Consider the following 15,062-nt stretch of genomic DNA (forward strand, 5'->3'; position numbering starts at 1 on the left):
TGTGTATCTACCTGTGTGTCTCAACTCAGGCTGCTTGCTGTGACAAAGTCCCCTAGACTGAGTGGTTTAAGCCACAGTTTATTTCTCTTGGTTCTGGGGCAGGAAGTCCCGGATGAAGGCACCGGCAGATGTGCTGCCTGGTGAGGGCTCACTTCCTGATTTACAGACTGCAGCCTTCTCGCTGTCCTCATGTGGCCAGGCGAGCAGAGCAAGCCCACAGAATCCCATTCACGGGAGCCCCACTCCCACGGCCTCCTCCCCTCCCACAAGCCCCACCTCCCAGCACTGTCCCCGTGGGGGTCAGCATTTCAACACATGAATTCAGGGGAAGACAGACATCCAGTCCATAACAGTGTATATGTGTAGCTGTGTGTATGTGTAGATGTGTGTATGTATAGTGTGTGCGCGTGTGAATGTGTAGCTATGTATGTTTGCATGTATGTGTAGTGTGTATATGTGTGTATGTGTAGATGTGTGTATGTGTAGATGTGTGTATGTGTGTGTATGTGTAGTGTGTATGCATGTGCATGTGTAGCTGTGTATGTGTATATGTGTGTACTTGTAGATGTGTATGTGTGTGTATGTGTAGCTGTGTATCTGTATGGTAGCTGTGTATGTGCGTGTAGCTGTGTGTGTATATCCATGTGTGTATATATAGGTGTGTATGTTTGTACATATATGTACATATACATACCTACACATCCACATGCATATGTGTGCAGCTGTGTATACATGTGTGTGTAGGTGTGTGTCTAGCTGTATGTGCAGCTATGTATCTGTGTATAGCTGTGTACATATGTGTGTGTTTATAAGTAGCTGTGTGTGTAACTGTATGTGTGTATATGTACATGTATGTGTGTATAGGTAGCTGTGTGTAGCTGTGTGTGTATTAAACTGAGTGTGTATCTCACACTAAAGCAGATCCCGTAGGAACCACACTTCTTTCTGGTGATGGGGATGAGAGGGAGTTGCATCTGCCTTCTGCCCCTAGCGAGTGGATGTAGGCCCAGTTGCTTGGGTGCGAGAGTTCACATGCAGGTGTGACAGGTCTCAGCCAGGACAGTGGTTTTTGGACGTGGGTGGGGACCGGAGGCTGCCCCTGGTGCTGTGTGGACAGGGTGCTGTTCTGAACCACAGAGGAGCTTCGGAGCCCTCTGTCCTCTGCGGCGTTCAGTCCGCCTCCAGTTACTAGGCCGGGTGTAGACACAGAAGTAGAGCCTGTTCTTGGTGCCATTGGCCCCGGGTCCTGGCACTGCCCACCTTGGTGGGGAGGGTTTCTCCAGAGAGGGGCTGTGCCCCCAGCTCCGCGTCCAGCGGTGTTTTGCTGCCTCATAACCTGCAGGTACTGGGAGCTTTGGCGCCTGCTTTTCAGTCTCAGTGGACAGACTGGGATTTCCACTCCTGACTTGGGAAGAAAGAACAGGGTCTTTGCTTTGCATTGAGGCTGTGGTGGAGCACAGAGAGTTCAGAGATACCCAGGGTAGCAGCAGCCTGAGACCAGCACCAGCTACCAACTGAACGAGGCTGTGCGGCCCAGGCCAGGCCCCCGTGCGATTTCAGCTCCGGGTCACCTGGCCCCCATCCTCTCCCCTGGGCAGCTGGAGGCTCCAGGCCTTCCTGTGGCTAGCTCCTGCCCCAAGGCTGCCCTGCTGACTGCACCCTCGACCCTGTGGCTCAGGCTGGCCTCTGGGGGTCCCCGGTCTCTGTGGTTCCAGTGAGGCAGCAGCTCCCAGATGCCACCTCCACACTGTGGGTGGGCCAGCCAGTGCTGAGAGGGAGCCACTCTCCACCTCTGTGTCCACCATCCACTCCAAGCTCCCAGGCTGCCTCCACGTTGTGTCCACCGTCCACTCCAAGCTCCCAGGCTGCCTCCACGTTTGGGCATGAGGGGATCTTGTTGCATCCGCTCCTCTTCCTAGCTGGGCCCTCCACAGCCAGTGTACCCCAAGGAGCAGCTTCTCCCTCCCACCCACCCCCGCCGGCCAGGGGTCCTCATGCCGTGGCCCATGCCCATTTGCACAGGGACGCAGGGGGTCTCACACACAGGCAGGGTCCGCCCCCAGCTGCCGTCGGCGTCACTCCACACACATAGGCTTCTGGGCGGTGCTGGAAGCTTCTGGCCCCTGAACGTTCCCCCCAGGCCCCGTTTCAGGGAAAGGAAAGGCAGGCGCAGGCTGCGGCCGTTTCCACAATCCACCTCGTAGCTGGGGCGTGCCGCTTGCCTCGGCTTGTCCCGGCAGAACACTCTTACCTTTAATGGCGACTGAAAAGTTGCCACGAGTTCCTGATCATTGTGGTAGGTGCTGCGTGAAGCTGAGACGTGCGTGAGCCACATCCCAGGGGGCTTTGAGCCCCCACCGCGGCGGCGGCTGAGGGGAGGCTTGTCGTACTCGCACAGGAGGACACAGGGCTGCAGTGTTCACTCCAGGGCCTCTTATCATTGGGATCTGAGGAATTTTCCGAGAGGAAGTGCGAATTAACAATGATGAAAGGTTTGTGAGTGAGTGACAGGCACGTTCTATTGAGCACTGCATGGGGCATTATGTGCCACCAGAGACGGGGGCAGAGGTCAAGAGCCCTCGAGGGCTGGGAGAGTTCGGAGGATAGAAGTCATCAGAGCACAATGAAGCCAGACCCTGCAGCCGCCTTCCCCTTCGGGGGCTTCCTTAGAATGCAGCATTGCGGGGACTGAGCTGTCCCAGGTGAAGGGGGGCCGTCACGGTGTGTGGACGCCCCTCGGCTCAGCCCTCTAAGAGACTCGGCAGCCAGGATGGGCTCAAGGCATGAGCCCTCAAAGGAGGTTAGGAAGGAGCGAGGGAGAAAAGATATGCTTGTGTGACGTCCTGGCCGAAGTGAGAACAATTGTATCAGATAATGAGTCATGTCCCATTGAGGGGTGCCGACAAGGACTCGGGAGGAGGCCACGGAGCCCTGTACTGAGGAGACGCCCACAGGGAGCCTCGGGGGCCCAGCGTCCCGGGATCACTGGATGGTAAAGCCGCCCTGCCTGGCGTGGCTGGGCTTGGCCAAGACCCAGAAGCAGAAGTTCCGGAAGCTGGAGACAGTGGCTGTGGGGGGCGCAAGGCGGCGGGGGACTGTCGCTGTTACGAGACAAAGCTGCAGTTGTCGGAGGCTGTGTGCACCCTGGGTCTTCTCAGTGAGGACGTGGATGAGGGGCGGCGAACCCACCATTATCTGTTCTCCATAAAAAGCTACCCTAAACTTAGTTAGCTTGAAAAGCCCTATTTTACAGATTTATTCTTCATTTAGTGGCTCAGAAGTTCCAAAAGGGCTCAGCCAGGTGGTTCTTCACTCCACGCACGGGGCACTGACTGTGTCCTCTGCTCAGCTGTGTCCTCATGGGGGCTGGGCTGGAAGGTCCTGGGGGCTGCAGTCCCGCACCTCCACCTCCCTGCCCTTTCACAAAGTCCACCCTCAACCCTGGGTACTGGCCTCCTCAGAGCAGGTGGATGCAGGGTCGTGGGACCACCTGCCCAATGACTACAGGGCATGAGAGGGCAGCTGCAGTGTTCTGAGTCCCAAGCTCACTTCCGCTGAGTCCTGTGGGCAAAACAGATCGCAAGGCCAGACCCAGGCTCGGGGGAGGGAAATGGACTCCGTCCGGCCAAGGCAGTGTGGCAGGGTCAGTGGCCGGCTCCAGCAGGCAGACCTGGAGCCCAGCCTGTGTGACTCCAAAGTCAGTGTTCGAATGGAGCTCTTTGGAATTGAATTGCTTAAAAGGCGCCAATGTCGGAGAAGCTAGACGATACCCACAAACAGTACAGTTAGGCAGGTTATTAGTGCACATGCATATATGGAATATTATGCAATATTTAAAATAATGGTTACATTGTTTAAAAGCATGGAAGCGGTTTGTTCTCAGTGTCAGGAAGGAGGCAGGAGACAAGCTTCTCTATGCAGTATCACCTCAACAAGGTTAAAAAAGCCCATAGAAAAAGGCTTGGAAAGAAGCATGTTGAATTGTCACGGTAGCTGTCCCATGGTGGCCAAAATAACGAGTGATTGTCTAAATTCACATCACTTTTGTGTACTTTCCAAATATTTTCTTCAAGCAGCACACATTTCTTTCAAATAAAAATTATGCAACGATGAAGAACATGCCTCAGTTTTAACTGAAATACTGGGTGCTGATGAAAACGGGCCGACATCTGTGGAACCCCCGGGGGCATGGAGCCCTCGGCTAAGGGTCTGCCTCTGGTCTCTCCCCAGGTGGGCGGGGGCAGGACGGAAGCCCGGTTATCACCTTCCCTGACTACCCGGCCTTCAGCGAGATTCCGGACAAGGAGTTCCAGAATGTCATGACCTACCTCACCAGCATCCCCAGGTACGTGCACCCAGAGCCCGGCAGACATTGTGGTTTGGGGCAGAGTCCCTGTGAGATTTCACCAGGGTGGGGTCCCTGCAACTATGGGATGAGGCAGAGTCCCTGTGAGATTTCCCTGTCATGGGGTCCCCGTGACTGTGGGTCGGGGCAGAGTCCCTGTGAGATTTCCCCATCATGCGGTCCCCGTGACTGTGGGTCAGGGCAGAGTCTCTGTGAGGTTTCATCATGGTGGGGTCCCCGTGACTGTGGGTTGGGGCAGAATCTCTGTGAGGTTTCATCATGGTGGGGTCCCCGTGACTGTGGGTCGGGGCAGAGTCCCTGTGAGATTTCACCAGGGTGGGGTCCCTGCAACTATGGGATGAGGCAGAGTCCCTGTGAGATTTCCCCATCATGCGGTCCCCGTGACTGTGGGTCAGGGCAGAGTCCCTGTGAGGTTTCCCCATTGTGGGGTCCCCGTGACTGTGGGTCGGGGCAGAGTCCCTGTGAGATTTCCCCGTCATGGGGTCCCCGTGACTGTGGGTCAGGGCAGAGTCTCCGTGAGGTTTCATCATGGTGGGGTCCCCGTGACTGTGGGTCGGGGCAGAGTCTCTGTGAGGTTTCGTCATGGTGGGGTCCCCGTGACTGTGGGTCGGGGCAGAGTCTCTGTGAGGTTTCATCATGGTGGGGTCCCCGTGACTGTGGGTCGGGGCAGAGTCTCTGTGAGGTTTCATCATGGTGGGGTCCCCGTGACTGTGGGTCGGGGCAGAGTCTCTGTGAGGTTTCATCATCGTGGGGTCCCCGTGACTGTGGGTTGGGGCAGAGTCTCTGGGAGGTTTCATCATGGTGGGGTCCCCGTGACTGTGGGTCGGGGCAGAGTCCCTGTGAGGTTTCCCCATTGTGGGGTCCCTGCAACTATGGGATGAGGCAGAGTCCCTGTGAGATTTCCCTGTCATGGGGTCCCCGTGACTGTGGGTCGGGGCAGAGTCCCTGTGAGATTTCACCAGGGTGGGGTCCCTGCAACTATGGGATGAGGCAGAGTCCCTGTGAGATTTCCCTGTCATGGGGTCCCCGTGACTGTGGGTCGGGGCAGAGTCTCTGTGAGGTTTCATCATGGTGGGGTCCCCGTGACTGTGGGTCGGGGCAGAGTCCCTGTGAGGTTTCCCCATTGTGGGGTCCCCGTGACTGTGGGTCGGGGCAGAGTCCCTGTGAGATTTCCCCGTCATGGGGTCCCCGTGACTGTGGGTCGGGGCAGAGTCTCCGTGAGGTTTCATCATGGTGGGGTCCCCGTGACTGTGGGTCGGGGCAGAGTCCCTGTGAGATTTCCCCATCATGCGGTCCCCGTGACTGTGGGTCGGGGCAGAGTCTCTGTGAGGTTTCATCATGGTGGGGTCCCCGTGACTGTGGGTCGGGGCAGAGTCTCTGTGAGGTTCCACCATGGTGGGGTCCCCGTGACTGTGGGTCGGGGCAGAGTCTCTGTGAGGTTCCACCAGGCTGGGGTCCCCGTGACTGTGGGTCGGGGCAGAGTCTCTGTGAGGTTCCACCATGGTGGGGTCCCCGTGACTGCAGGATGAATTAGGGTCTCTGGGAGCCATCATTGAGTTCCCCGTGGCTTTGCTGAGGGGTTAGAGCTTTGTCAGCATCATGGTTCCGAGGAGCTCAGGAGTCTGCCTCAGATCTGATCTGGGGTCCGAATCCAGCTTTTTCGCTCCTGAGCTGCCGTTTTTTCCTGGAGCTCGGAGGCCCACCTGGAGGCCCAGTTGCTCAGCAGTCGGGATCTGACTTAGCCTGAGCGCTGCTGTGCTCCCTCGTATACCATCACTGCGCATGCCTGTTCGATCAGCAGAGTTCTGCGGTGCGAGGGCTTCTGTGTTCTTAATGCCGAGGAGCCCATCTGCACGGGACCTGATGCTCATGGGAGCAGAGCCCGTCCACGTGGCCTCTCTGTGTCGTGGTCAGGCCCTGGGGGCGTGGCCGCCTCCTGCCCTTTCCAGGAAAGAACTGACCCCAGAGGTACCAGAAAATCCAGTTAACAAAAATGGTTCCCTCAGGCTGCAGTTTTTTGTTTTGTTCCAGACAGAGCTGGGTCCCTGTCCTCTGAAAAGGTAGGGAGCCCAGTTCTGTGTCTCCCCAGCGGCGGGCAGGAGAGCAGCATCAGGCCGGTGAGCTGCAGGCTGACTTGGGAGGGGTGCCGCGGGGGTCTCTCATCTGATGTGCTCGTCCCAGCCTCCAGGAAGATGCTGAGAATGTCAGCCTCACACCAGACAGTGTAGTTGCTGCTTCCATTTGGGGTATAGTGAACACACACCAAGTAAAAACAGAAATATCCTTAAATATGGCATCTGTATCCCGCACATTACATAAGGTGGCAAAACACAGAGGAGATGTTTAACCATCAGCGTGAAAGTGCAGCCGTGGCCATTACCGTGAAGGTTCTTCATTCTTCAGTCTTTAAAGACAACAGCGCACTGGGCCTGGTAACTGAGAGCTCAGCCCGTCGGCCTGACCTGGAAAGCAGCACATTGATCCCCTGATAAATATCACATAACCACCAGCTGGCAGCAGCCAGCCTCTGCAGTCATGCCTCAAGGAGAGGGAGAGCGGTGGGCACCTCTGTCCACTTGGCGGGTTGAGGTGGGAGCTGGAGGAGCAGGGAGCCTCACCGGTGGGCCTTTCGGGGGCAGGACGTCTTGGTGGGCAGAAAGAAGGGGGCTCGTGACTGACTATGGTCAAAGCCCTGGACATGGCGGTGTCCTGGTAGCCCCAAATCACTGTGTGTTGGGTTTGTGGTTTTGACCTCAGTCTCTTGTCTGTTGTGAGAATCTTGCACCCCCTATGCGCCAGGCTCTGCTGGCTGAGCTGAGTGCACGGAGGAGGGGCTGGGTCTCGGGCCGAGCGGCCGAGCTCCCTGAGGGGCTGATGGGACCGGCTTGGTGGGGCAAGGCTGCGATGCTGCAGACGGTTTCCACACATTCCTCCCTGGTTCTCAGCCACACTGTGGCAGGAAGGCAGTTATTAAGCCCATGTTATAGATGAGGCTTAATAACACGGTGATGGCTGGAGAAAGGGGATGGCTGGGCAGGGGAGCGCCCGAAGGCTCAGACCACATGGCCGTACCCCGAGGACGTAGGCTCCAGGTGTGCTGTGGCCAGAGGGGTGTCCTGGGGAGGGCGGTCATCTCCAAGCCTCCAGGCCTTTGTCTGTCACCTGCACAGGAGGAAGGGCCTGTGTCCCAGGGGACGGCCGGCCTGACAGGTACATCCGCCCCCTGATGGCACCTCCTGGCATGGGGCTAAATGAGATTCTGTGGTGTCCACACTGAATGCTGACTGGTCAGACTCATGCTCAGAAATCAGGGCTGTTGTCAGTGCTTGCTACTTGGAGCCATGAGCTGGGGCGCCTCCTGTTTGTTGAACCTTCCTGTCTCTTTTGTCTTAGAAACTTCATGGAGTCCCTTAGCTACCCACATCCCTTTCTCAAGATTTTTCTAGAATCTGCGGAGTTCCTTAGCTACCCACATCCCTTTTCTTGAGATTTGTCTAGAATCTGCAGCACTCAAAGGCCACCCATCAAGGCCATAAGAGTGTGGTAGGCGGCACGTGTTCATGTGTGCACGCCTCTGTTTATCCGATGTTCTGGAACCTTCCATGGCCTCCTTGCTGCTGCCCCACTTGTCTGTCTGCTTCTCCTGAGATCCAGGAATCTCAGATGGGTCCAGACTCCTGCAGGACAAGACCCACTCAGCCACCTCTGTAGATTGCGCATCTGTGAGTCGCACAGCCTGGTCTGGCTGAAGGTGGCCGGAGCGCAGGCCCAGTCCCCGCTGTGGACACGCGGGCCCCAGGTTGCTCAGAGGCAGCTCCATGGATCCCCACTGTTCACCTGTGTATGGAAACTCAGGTTTTCTGGTCACACTTAGATAATAAAAAGTGGAAGAGGCCTTTCTATCACCAAACGCTCTAAATCAGATCCTGGAAATGCCAGCTTCATTCAGCCATGAGCAGTGCTGCTGACCGTGGAGCTGTTTCCCCCACCAGACTCAGTGTGGGTGTCTGAGTGTGTGGTGTGAGTGTGTGTAATGTGAGCCTGTGGTGTGTGTGGGGTGAGTGTGTGGTGTGTGTGGCGTGTGCGGGGTGTGTGTGGGGTATGTGTGGTGTGTGTGTAATGTGAGCATGTGGCATGTGTGGGGTAAGTGGTGTGTGTGGTATGTGTGGACTATGTGAGGCATGTGTGGGGTGAGTGTGGGGTGTGGTGTGTGGGGGGTGTGTGTGAGCGTGAGTGTATGCGTGCATTCTACCCACGTTTCCTTTCTTCCCAGGTAGGTCTCATCAGTGTCAGACCCAATGCTCCCTTTCTATCTGGAAATAAAACTCTTTGATAACAAAACCCAACCTGTGTGAATTTGGGAGGACGCCCATGTGCCCTGATCAGAAGGACCCACAGAAGGGAAGCTGCGGGCCTGTAAGAGCCACCTGTCCCCTGGCTGTCCCGGCATCCTAGGGCGCAGCAGCCGCGGCAGCTCCCCTGGATTTCTGTGAGCACGGGGCTGCAGGCGTGCTGTGGGGACCCCGTGCCTCCAGGGTGTTGCCATTGAGCATGTCCTTCCAGAGAGAGTGAACAATTCTTGACACATTTCTAAGGGAAATCTTCTTCCTAAGGGCATCTACGGGATGCCTTCTTGAGAAGTGCAGAGTGTGTTAAAAATGTGGGGGTCAATCATGGCCTCTGCAGATAAAACCAGGGTCCCTGCAAGCCTTGCAGGTGCAGCTTGGCAGAGGGGACCGTCCCAGAGGAAGTCTCTGCATCCCTGGCGAGCAAAATTGCCAGGCTAGTGACAAGGAGGAGACCTGCCCACTGCGCCCTGAGGGTGCTGTGTCCCCGGGAAGTACCCTCTGCGGGGGACCCTCTTCCCAAGGTGGGGGCGGGGCTGCCCTCTGCTGGAGACGCGGAGCATTGCGGCTCGGTCCCGGGACATCCCTGGGAGACCAAGAGAGGGAGGGGAGCTTGGACCTTTTCTTCCAGGAGATGGTGGACGAGACCCTGGCACAGGCGGTTCCCCAGCACGCAGTTTCCAGACAGCTGCACAGCCAGCACATTCTTTAAGTGGGAAAAAAGTGAAATTGACCAGGCCTGTTCTTTCACATGTCAATGCAAATTAAATGGACAAATCTCTCGTGAAGGCTGCTTTTAAGGGGTTTCAACTGTTACATTCTAAACCAAGCATCACTTTTATCAATTTAGAAAGAATGTTGTATTCTAATTTTAACTTTCCTTCTGTTTTCATATGCAAATGCCAGGTGTCCCAATTTAAGCACTACATCTGACTATACTCATCATTTTTGGAATATTAGACTGAAATAGGTTTGCCCCAAATGGTTTGGGGCACCTGTTAATATAAACCAAGTTTTTGGTCCTTGGAAAGACGACTCATCAGGGCGAAGGGGGTGAGCTCGTGCTTTGCTGACTCAGGTGTCTGCCGACGCCCGGTGTGGACTCTCAGGTGTCCGCTGACGCAGGTGTGGACCCTCGGGTGTCCACTGATGCAGGTGTGGGCCCTCGGGTGTCCGCCGACGCCCGGTGTGGACCCTCAGGTGTCTGCCGACGCCCGGTGTGGACTCTCAGGTGTCCGCTGACGCAGGTGTGGGCCCTCGGGTGTCCGCCGACGCAGATGTGGGCCCTCGGGTGTCCGCCGACGCCCGGTGTGGACTCTCAGGTGTCCGCTGACGCAGGTGTGGGCCCTCGGGTGTCCGCCGACGCCCGGTGTGGACTCTCAGGTGTCCGCTGATGCAGGTGTGGGCCCTCGGGTGTCCACCGACGCAGATGTGGGCCCTCGGGTGTCCGCCGACGCAGGTGTGGACTCTCAGGTGTCCGCTGATGCAGGTGTGGGCCCTCGGGTGTCTGCCGACACAGGTGTGGGCCCTCGTTCGTCAGAGGGCAGGTTCGGATCTCTGAAAACCCTATAGCCCTTCCTACTCCTAATGGAGCTCCATTTAACCAACATCGGCCAGGCCTTGATAGGAGCCAAGGTCTCAGAGAGGCGATAGAGACCAGCGACAAGCAGATTCCAGACCCTGTATGGCCCCCTTAGAACCACATGGCCGGGGAGGAGATGCACAGGTAGACGGTCAGACCTGTGTGTCCAGGCACTGCTTGCTGAGAAGTCTCAGTGGTCAGCACACACTGGGAACACAACAGCAAATAAACAGAGAAAATTGTGGCGCTGAGACAATATGTCAGCTATGGAGGGCGTACAGGGCAGCAGGGCTGTGGGAAAACAATGTGAGAAAGAAAGAGAGACAGAGAGACAGAGACAGACAGATACAGACAGAGAGACAGAGACAGACAGATACAGACAGAGACAGAGACAGAGAGAGACAGAGACAGAGAGTGACAGAGAGACAGACAGAGACAGAGAGAGACAGAGAGAAGAGACAGAGAGTGACAGACAGAGACAGAGAGACAGAGACAGACAGAGACAGAGACAGAGAGAGACAGAGAGAAGAGACAGAGAGTGACAGAGATAGAGACAGACAGACAGAGACACGGAGACACAGAGATAAAGAGAGCACGAGGGAGGCAGAGGGCAGGGGTGGCAGCATCACTGCAGACAAGGAACTTAATGTAAACTGGGAAGCATTCGTCACAGAGATCCCAGGAGGGCGCCAGCGGCATCTTTGGGGGCAGCGAACGCACCAGGGGGCAGGACAGAGTGCCGGGGAGTCGGGGGCTGTAGGGACAGAGTCTGGGAGGTGAGACAGGGTCTGTGGAGCCTTTTCTGAGGAGCTGTGTTTTCTGTGAAGTGGGTGCCAAAGAGTTCATGAGCTGCCAGAATGCAGGGTGGAGGGAGAATGCGGGGTGGAGGGAGGAGCTGGGAGATGGGGAGGAGGGCGGCGGCCCTCAGAGAAGGGACGAGGTGGGAAGCCTGGAGCTTGCTGGAGGAGCAGTGTGGAAGGAATTCACTGAAGCTGATGATGACGCTTACTTTCCATGGGCCTGGCTCAAAGCTCCCAGCTCCTTGGGAGGTAGGGACTCCATCTACCAGCCAGCTTGCCGGGACAGGGGTCACATTCAGCCCATAAGAGGCATGTACACATACAGATGCACACACGCACCTACACAGGCTTGCACATGCCACACACACACACACACACACACAGATGCACGCAGACACGCAGGCACTCATGCACTTACATACACAGATGTGCATGTGTATAACCACACACGTGCGCACACACACACATGCAAGTGCATGCATACCCCCCCACAGACCTGCACATGTACACACCACATGCATGCACAGTTTGTGTGGTGTATGGGGAGGGTGCATGTGGGACGCAACAGAAACACGAATGTAATCATTAGGCTTCCAGTCAAGAGGAGAGTCCTCCTATCTCACTGATTCTAAGATAAGCACCTGGAGCCAACTCGGTTTGTCGTCCCCCTGCGGTGACCTGAGCACCCTGTCCTGCTGTCTGAGCTGGAGGGCAGCTGGACCCCAGCCCTTGGAAGAGCCCCACTTCTCGCTGTGGGTTTGATTTCCTATTGAACTTTGAATTGGCTTTTGAATATAAGGACAGGAAGTGTCTGTGAGCGTGTGTGAGCGTGCTAAACAATTTAATACGTGTGCATTAAAAAGTGAAGCTTCCACTTCACCTCCTGCTTCCCTCCCCCACAGCTAACTGTGGAGCTGCACTGGGGTGACACCCAGGCTGTTCATCCACGTGTGGTGGGACAGCACAGGACATGCCGCCTCGCAGCTTGCTGCTTCTGTTCAGCGGTGTGTCGTGGCGCCCTTCTACCTTGGCGCCATTTGCTGCTGCCTTTCATTTTATATATTTTTTTTTCATGTTTTGAGACAGGGTCTTGCTCTGTCACCCAGACTGGAGTGCAGTGGCAGGATCTCAGCTCACTGCCACCTCAACCTCCTGGGCCCAAGGTGATCCTCCTGCCTCAGTCTCCTGAGTAGCTGGGACTGCAGGCATGAGCCACCACACCCGGCTAATTTGGGTATTTTCTGTAGAAATGGAGTCTCACCATGTTACCCAGGCTGATCTAGAATTCTTGGGTTCGAGTGATCCACCCACCTTGGCCTCCAAAGTGCTGGGATTACAGATGTGAGCCATCGTGCCCGCCTGTGCCTTCCTTTTAAAGGCTTCCTGGCCCCTGTGATGTAAGCGGACCTGGTGTGCTCACTTGGGCTGGCCCCCGTGACGTGAGTGGACCCCGTGATGTGAGTGGACCCTGTGATGTGAGTGGCCCCCGTGATGTGAGTGGCCCCCGTGACATTAGTGGACCCCGTGGCGTGAGTGGCCCCCATGACGTGAGTGGCCCCTGTGACATTAGTGGACCCCGTGGCATGAGTGGCTGCCATGACGTGAGTGGCCCCCGTGATGTGAGTGGCCCCCGTGACATTAGTGGACCCCGTGGCGTGAGTGGCCCCCATGACGTGAGTGGACCCCGTGACGTGAGTGGCCCCCGTGACATGAGTGGCCCCCGTGACGTGAGTGGCCCCCGTGACATTAGTGGACCCCGTGGCGTGAGTGGCCCCTGTGACATTAGTGGACCCCGTGGCGTGAGTGGCCCCTGTGGCGTGAGTGGCCCCCGTGACATTAGTGGACCCCGTGGCGTGAGTGGCCCCCGTGACGTGAGTGGCCCCCGTGATGTGAGTGGACCCCGTGGCGTGAGTGGCCCCCATGATGTGAGTGGCCCCCGTGATGTGAGTGGCCCCCGTGGCGTGAGTGACCCCGTGTGCTCACTTGGGCCTGTTCGCGGGCATTTCGTGGTCCCCACTGTTTCCCTGTTGGGGTCACTGCTGTAAAGGGTCGCCCCGCCATGGTGTTCTGTCTGTGAGATTGTGCCCTGTTTCTGGCAGTTCTCAAATGCTCCAGCTGGGTGATTTCCCCCCCCCACCCCAACGGAGTTGGCAGTTTCAGGGCTACCCTTGTCTGCCATCTCTGGCTGGCCTGAGGCTGTGCTGGCCCCGGTCGCCCTCCATGGTCTGAAGCCCTGAGTGGAAGCTCTGCCACCCACAGCCAGCCTCGTTAGGAGGAACCAGGAGACATCACGCGGCCCAGGTGTCTGTGCGCTGTGCTGGGTGGGAAGCCACCTCTCAGGTGTGTTTCCCGTCTCCACATCAGCATTTTGTTCATGGAGTCTGCTGCTTCTGAGCACTGGGGACAAGTCGCGGAGGCCCTGCCATTCCTTCCTCCGGGTTCTGCACGCACCGCGGTGACCACCTCCCCCCGAGGTCCTCTCCCCGCACCTTCCCAAAACGTGTTCCCCAGGTCCTTTTCTGTTACTGCTGTTGAATTCAACAGCTACTGACCACCTGTGGCCATTTAAATGTAAAATGAAAGCAAAATAAAATTAAAAATCCAGCCCATGGCAGGCAGGGCTGCCTCTTTTTTTTTTTTTTTTTTTGGAGATGCGTCTGGCTCTGTCGCCCAGGCTGGAGTGCGGTGGCACGATCTTGGCTCACTGCAGCCTCAACCTTCCCAGCTCAGGTGATCCTCCCACCTCAGCCTCCCGAGTAGCTGGGATGACAGGCGCATGCCACCACGCCCGGCTAATTTTTGTATTTTTTGTAGAGATGGGGTTTCACCATGTTGCCCAGGTTGGTCTTGAACTCCTGGGCTCAAATGATCCACCTGCCTCAGCTTCCCAAAGTGCTGGGATTACTGGCGTGAGCCACCATGCCCGGCCAGGCAGCCTCATTTTCATTCACACATGACCAATGGCTGCTTATTGGGCTGCACGATGGTTATGCTGGCTCCGTCCTGGAGGAGTGAGTGCCCTCACCCTCACCCTCACCCTCGCCCTGGTCTCACCCTCGCCCTCACCTTCTCCCTCGCCCTGGTCTCACCCTCGCCCTCACCCTGGTCTCACCCTCGCCCTGGTCTCACCCACGCCCTCGCCCTTGCCCTGGTCTCACCCTCACCCTGGTCTCACCCTCACCCTGGTCTCACCCGCGCCCTTGCCCTTGCCCTGGTCTCACCGGCATGAGCAGAAAGACAAGGCCCGGGGTTGCAGTGTCTGTGCTCAGGGTCCAGACACAGCTCAGAACCGACCTTCCTTGGGGAGTGACAGTCCCCGGAGGTTAGGGGCTGCTGTGGCCAAAGAGCCACAGATCGGAGGTGAGGAAGGTCTGCCCGAGGTGAGGAAGGTCTGCCCGAGGTGAGGAAGGTCTGCCCGAGGCAAGGCAGGCCCGCAGTCCCGGGCGGTGGCATCAGGGTGAGCGCCCTGATAGCAAGGGACCTATGGCGCCCACACCGGAGGGCGGGAAAAGGAGGAAGAGCATGGCCCCCGTGAAGCCCCTCGGGAGGAAGGGTTCCTGTCCACGTTCAGCACCCCCGTGCAGACCTCACCATTCCCGACGGGAACACTTGTGATATTCACTTCCAACCACACGAGGGTGCAGCTGGGCAACCGCAGCTTTTGGAAAAATGTTGAAACTGGGGCGGCTTCTCTGGGTGACTCTGACGCTCTCATTGCTTCACGTTTAATTTTTGTGTCCTGCTGTAACTACCATGTAGTGCACTTATGAATCGTGCATATTTTACTCTAAGGCCTGTCTGTAAACCCTAATAAATGACCCTACTCAGGTAAGACGTCCTGACAGTGAGGTTTTTAATATTTACAAGCCACAGAATTATTTCCTGCAGCCACAGAGACTTCCTTGGCGGGAAACCAGGTCCTCTGACCTCACCCGGCTCTGCAGTCTGTTTTGCCGTTTTCCGCCTCA

The 15,062-nt window shown here is 56.9% G+C and overlaps 1 protein-coding gene across 25 annotated transcripts in view, besides 6 other annotated features; it reads left to right on the forward strand.

The window, feature by feature from the left end:
* MCF2L (MCF.2 cell line derived transforming sequence like) overlaps positions 1–15,062 on the forward strand; it is a 205,408-nt gene that overhangs the window by 126,079 nt on the left and 64,267 nt on the right. For all 25 annotated transcript variants that reach the window (NM_001438391.1, NM_001438392.1, NM_001438393.1 and 22 more), the window contains one exon: positions 4,231–4,345. In NM_001438391.1, coding sequence (NP_001425320.1) covers positions 4,231–4,345 — 115 coding nt within the window. The remainder of the gene's footprint in view (positions 1–4,230; positions 4,346–15,062) is intronic.
* Positions 1,600–2,234: an enhancer, noted in NCBI's record as "H3K27ac-H3K4me1 hESC enhancer chr13:113676327-113676961 (GRCh37/hg19 assembly coordinates)". NCBI's record gives its function as "activates a minimal SCP1, AML or CMV promoter by ChIP-STARR-seq in naive H9 embryonic stem cells {active_cell/tissue: H9 hESC(naive)}" and the evidence as "EXISTENCE:reporter gene assay evidence [ECO:0000049][PMID:30033119]".
* Positions 2,235–2,870: an enhancer, noted in NCBI's record as "OCT4-NANOG-H3K27ac-H3K4me1 hESC enhancer chr13:113676962-113677597 (GRCh37/hg19 assembly coordinates)". NCBI's record gives its function as "activates a minimal SCP1, AML or CMV promoter by ChIP-STARR-seq in naive H9 embryonic stem cells {active_cell/tissue: H9 hESC(naive)}" and the evidence as "EXISTENCE:reporter gene assay evidence [ECO:0000049][PMID:30033119]".
* Positions 6,892–7,393: an enhancer, noted in NCBI's record as "H3K4me1 hESC enhancer chr13:113681619-113682120 (GRCh37/hg19 assembly coordinates)". NCBI's record gives its function as "activates a minimal SCP1, AML or CMV promoter by ChIP-STARR-seq in primed H9 embryonic stem cells {active_cell/tissue: H9 hESC(primed)}" and the evidence as "EXISTENCE:reporter gene assay evidence [ECO:0000049][PMID:30033119]".
* Positions 7,394–7,893: an enhancer, noted in NCBI's record as "H3K4me1 hESC enhancer chr13:113682121-113682620 (GRCh37/hg19 assembly coordinates)". NCBI's record gives its function as "activates a minimal SCP1, AML or CMV promoter by ChIP-STARR-seq in naive H9 embryonic stem cells {active_cell/tissue: H9 hESC(naive)}" and the evidence as "EXISTENCE:reporter gene assay evidence [ECO:0000049][PMID:30033119]".
* Positions 9,481–10,005: an enhancer, noted in NCBI's record as "H3K4me1 hESC enhancer chr13:113684208-113684732 (GRCh37/hg19 assembly coordinates)". NCBI's record gives its function as "activates a minimal SCP1, AML or CMV promoter by ChIP-STARR-seq in naive and primed H9 embryonic stem cells {active_cell/tissue: H9 hESC(naive and primed)}" and the evidence as "EXISTENCE:reporter gene assay evidence [ECO:0000049][PMID:30033119]".
* Positions 14,602–14,896: a silencer, noted in NCBI's record as "tiled region #5526; K562 Repressive DNase matched - State 12:CtcfO". NCBI's record gives its function as "represses a minimal TATA promoter and a strong SV40 promoter by Sharpr-MPRA in K562 cells {active_cell/tissue: K562}" and the evidence as "EXISTENCE:reporter gene assay evidence [ECO:0000049][PMID:27701403]".

The sequence above is a fragment of the Homo sapiens genome, chromosome 13 (genome assembly GCF_000001405.40).
Source record: "Homo sapiens chromosome 13, GRCh38.p14 Primary Assembly".
Lineage (NCBI taxonomy): Eukaryota > Metazoa > Chordata > Mammalia > Primates > Hominidae > Homo > Homo sapiens.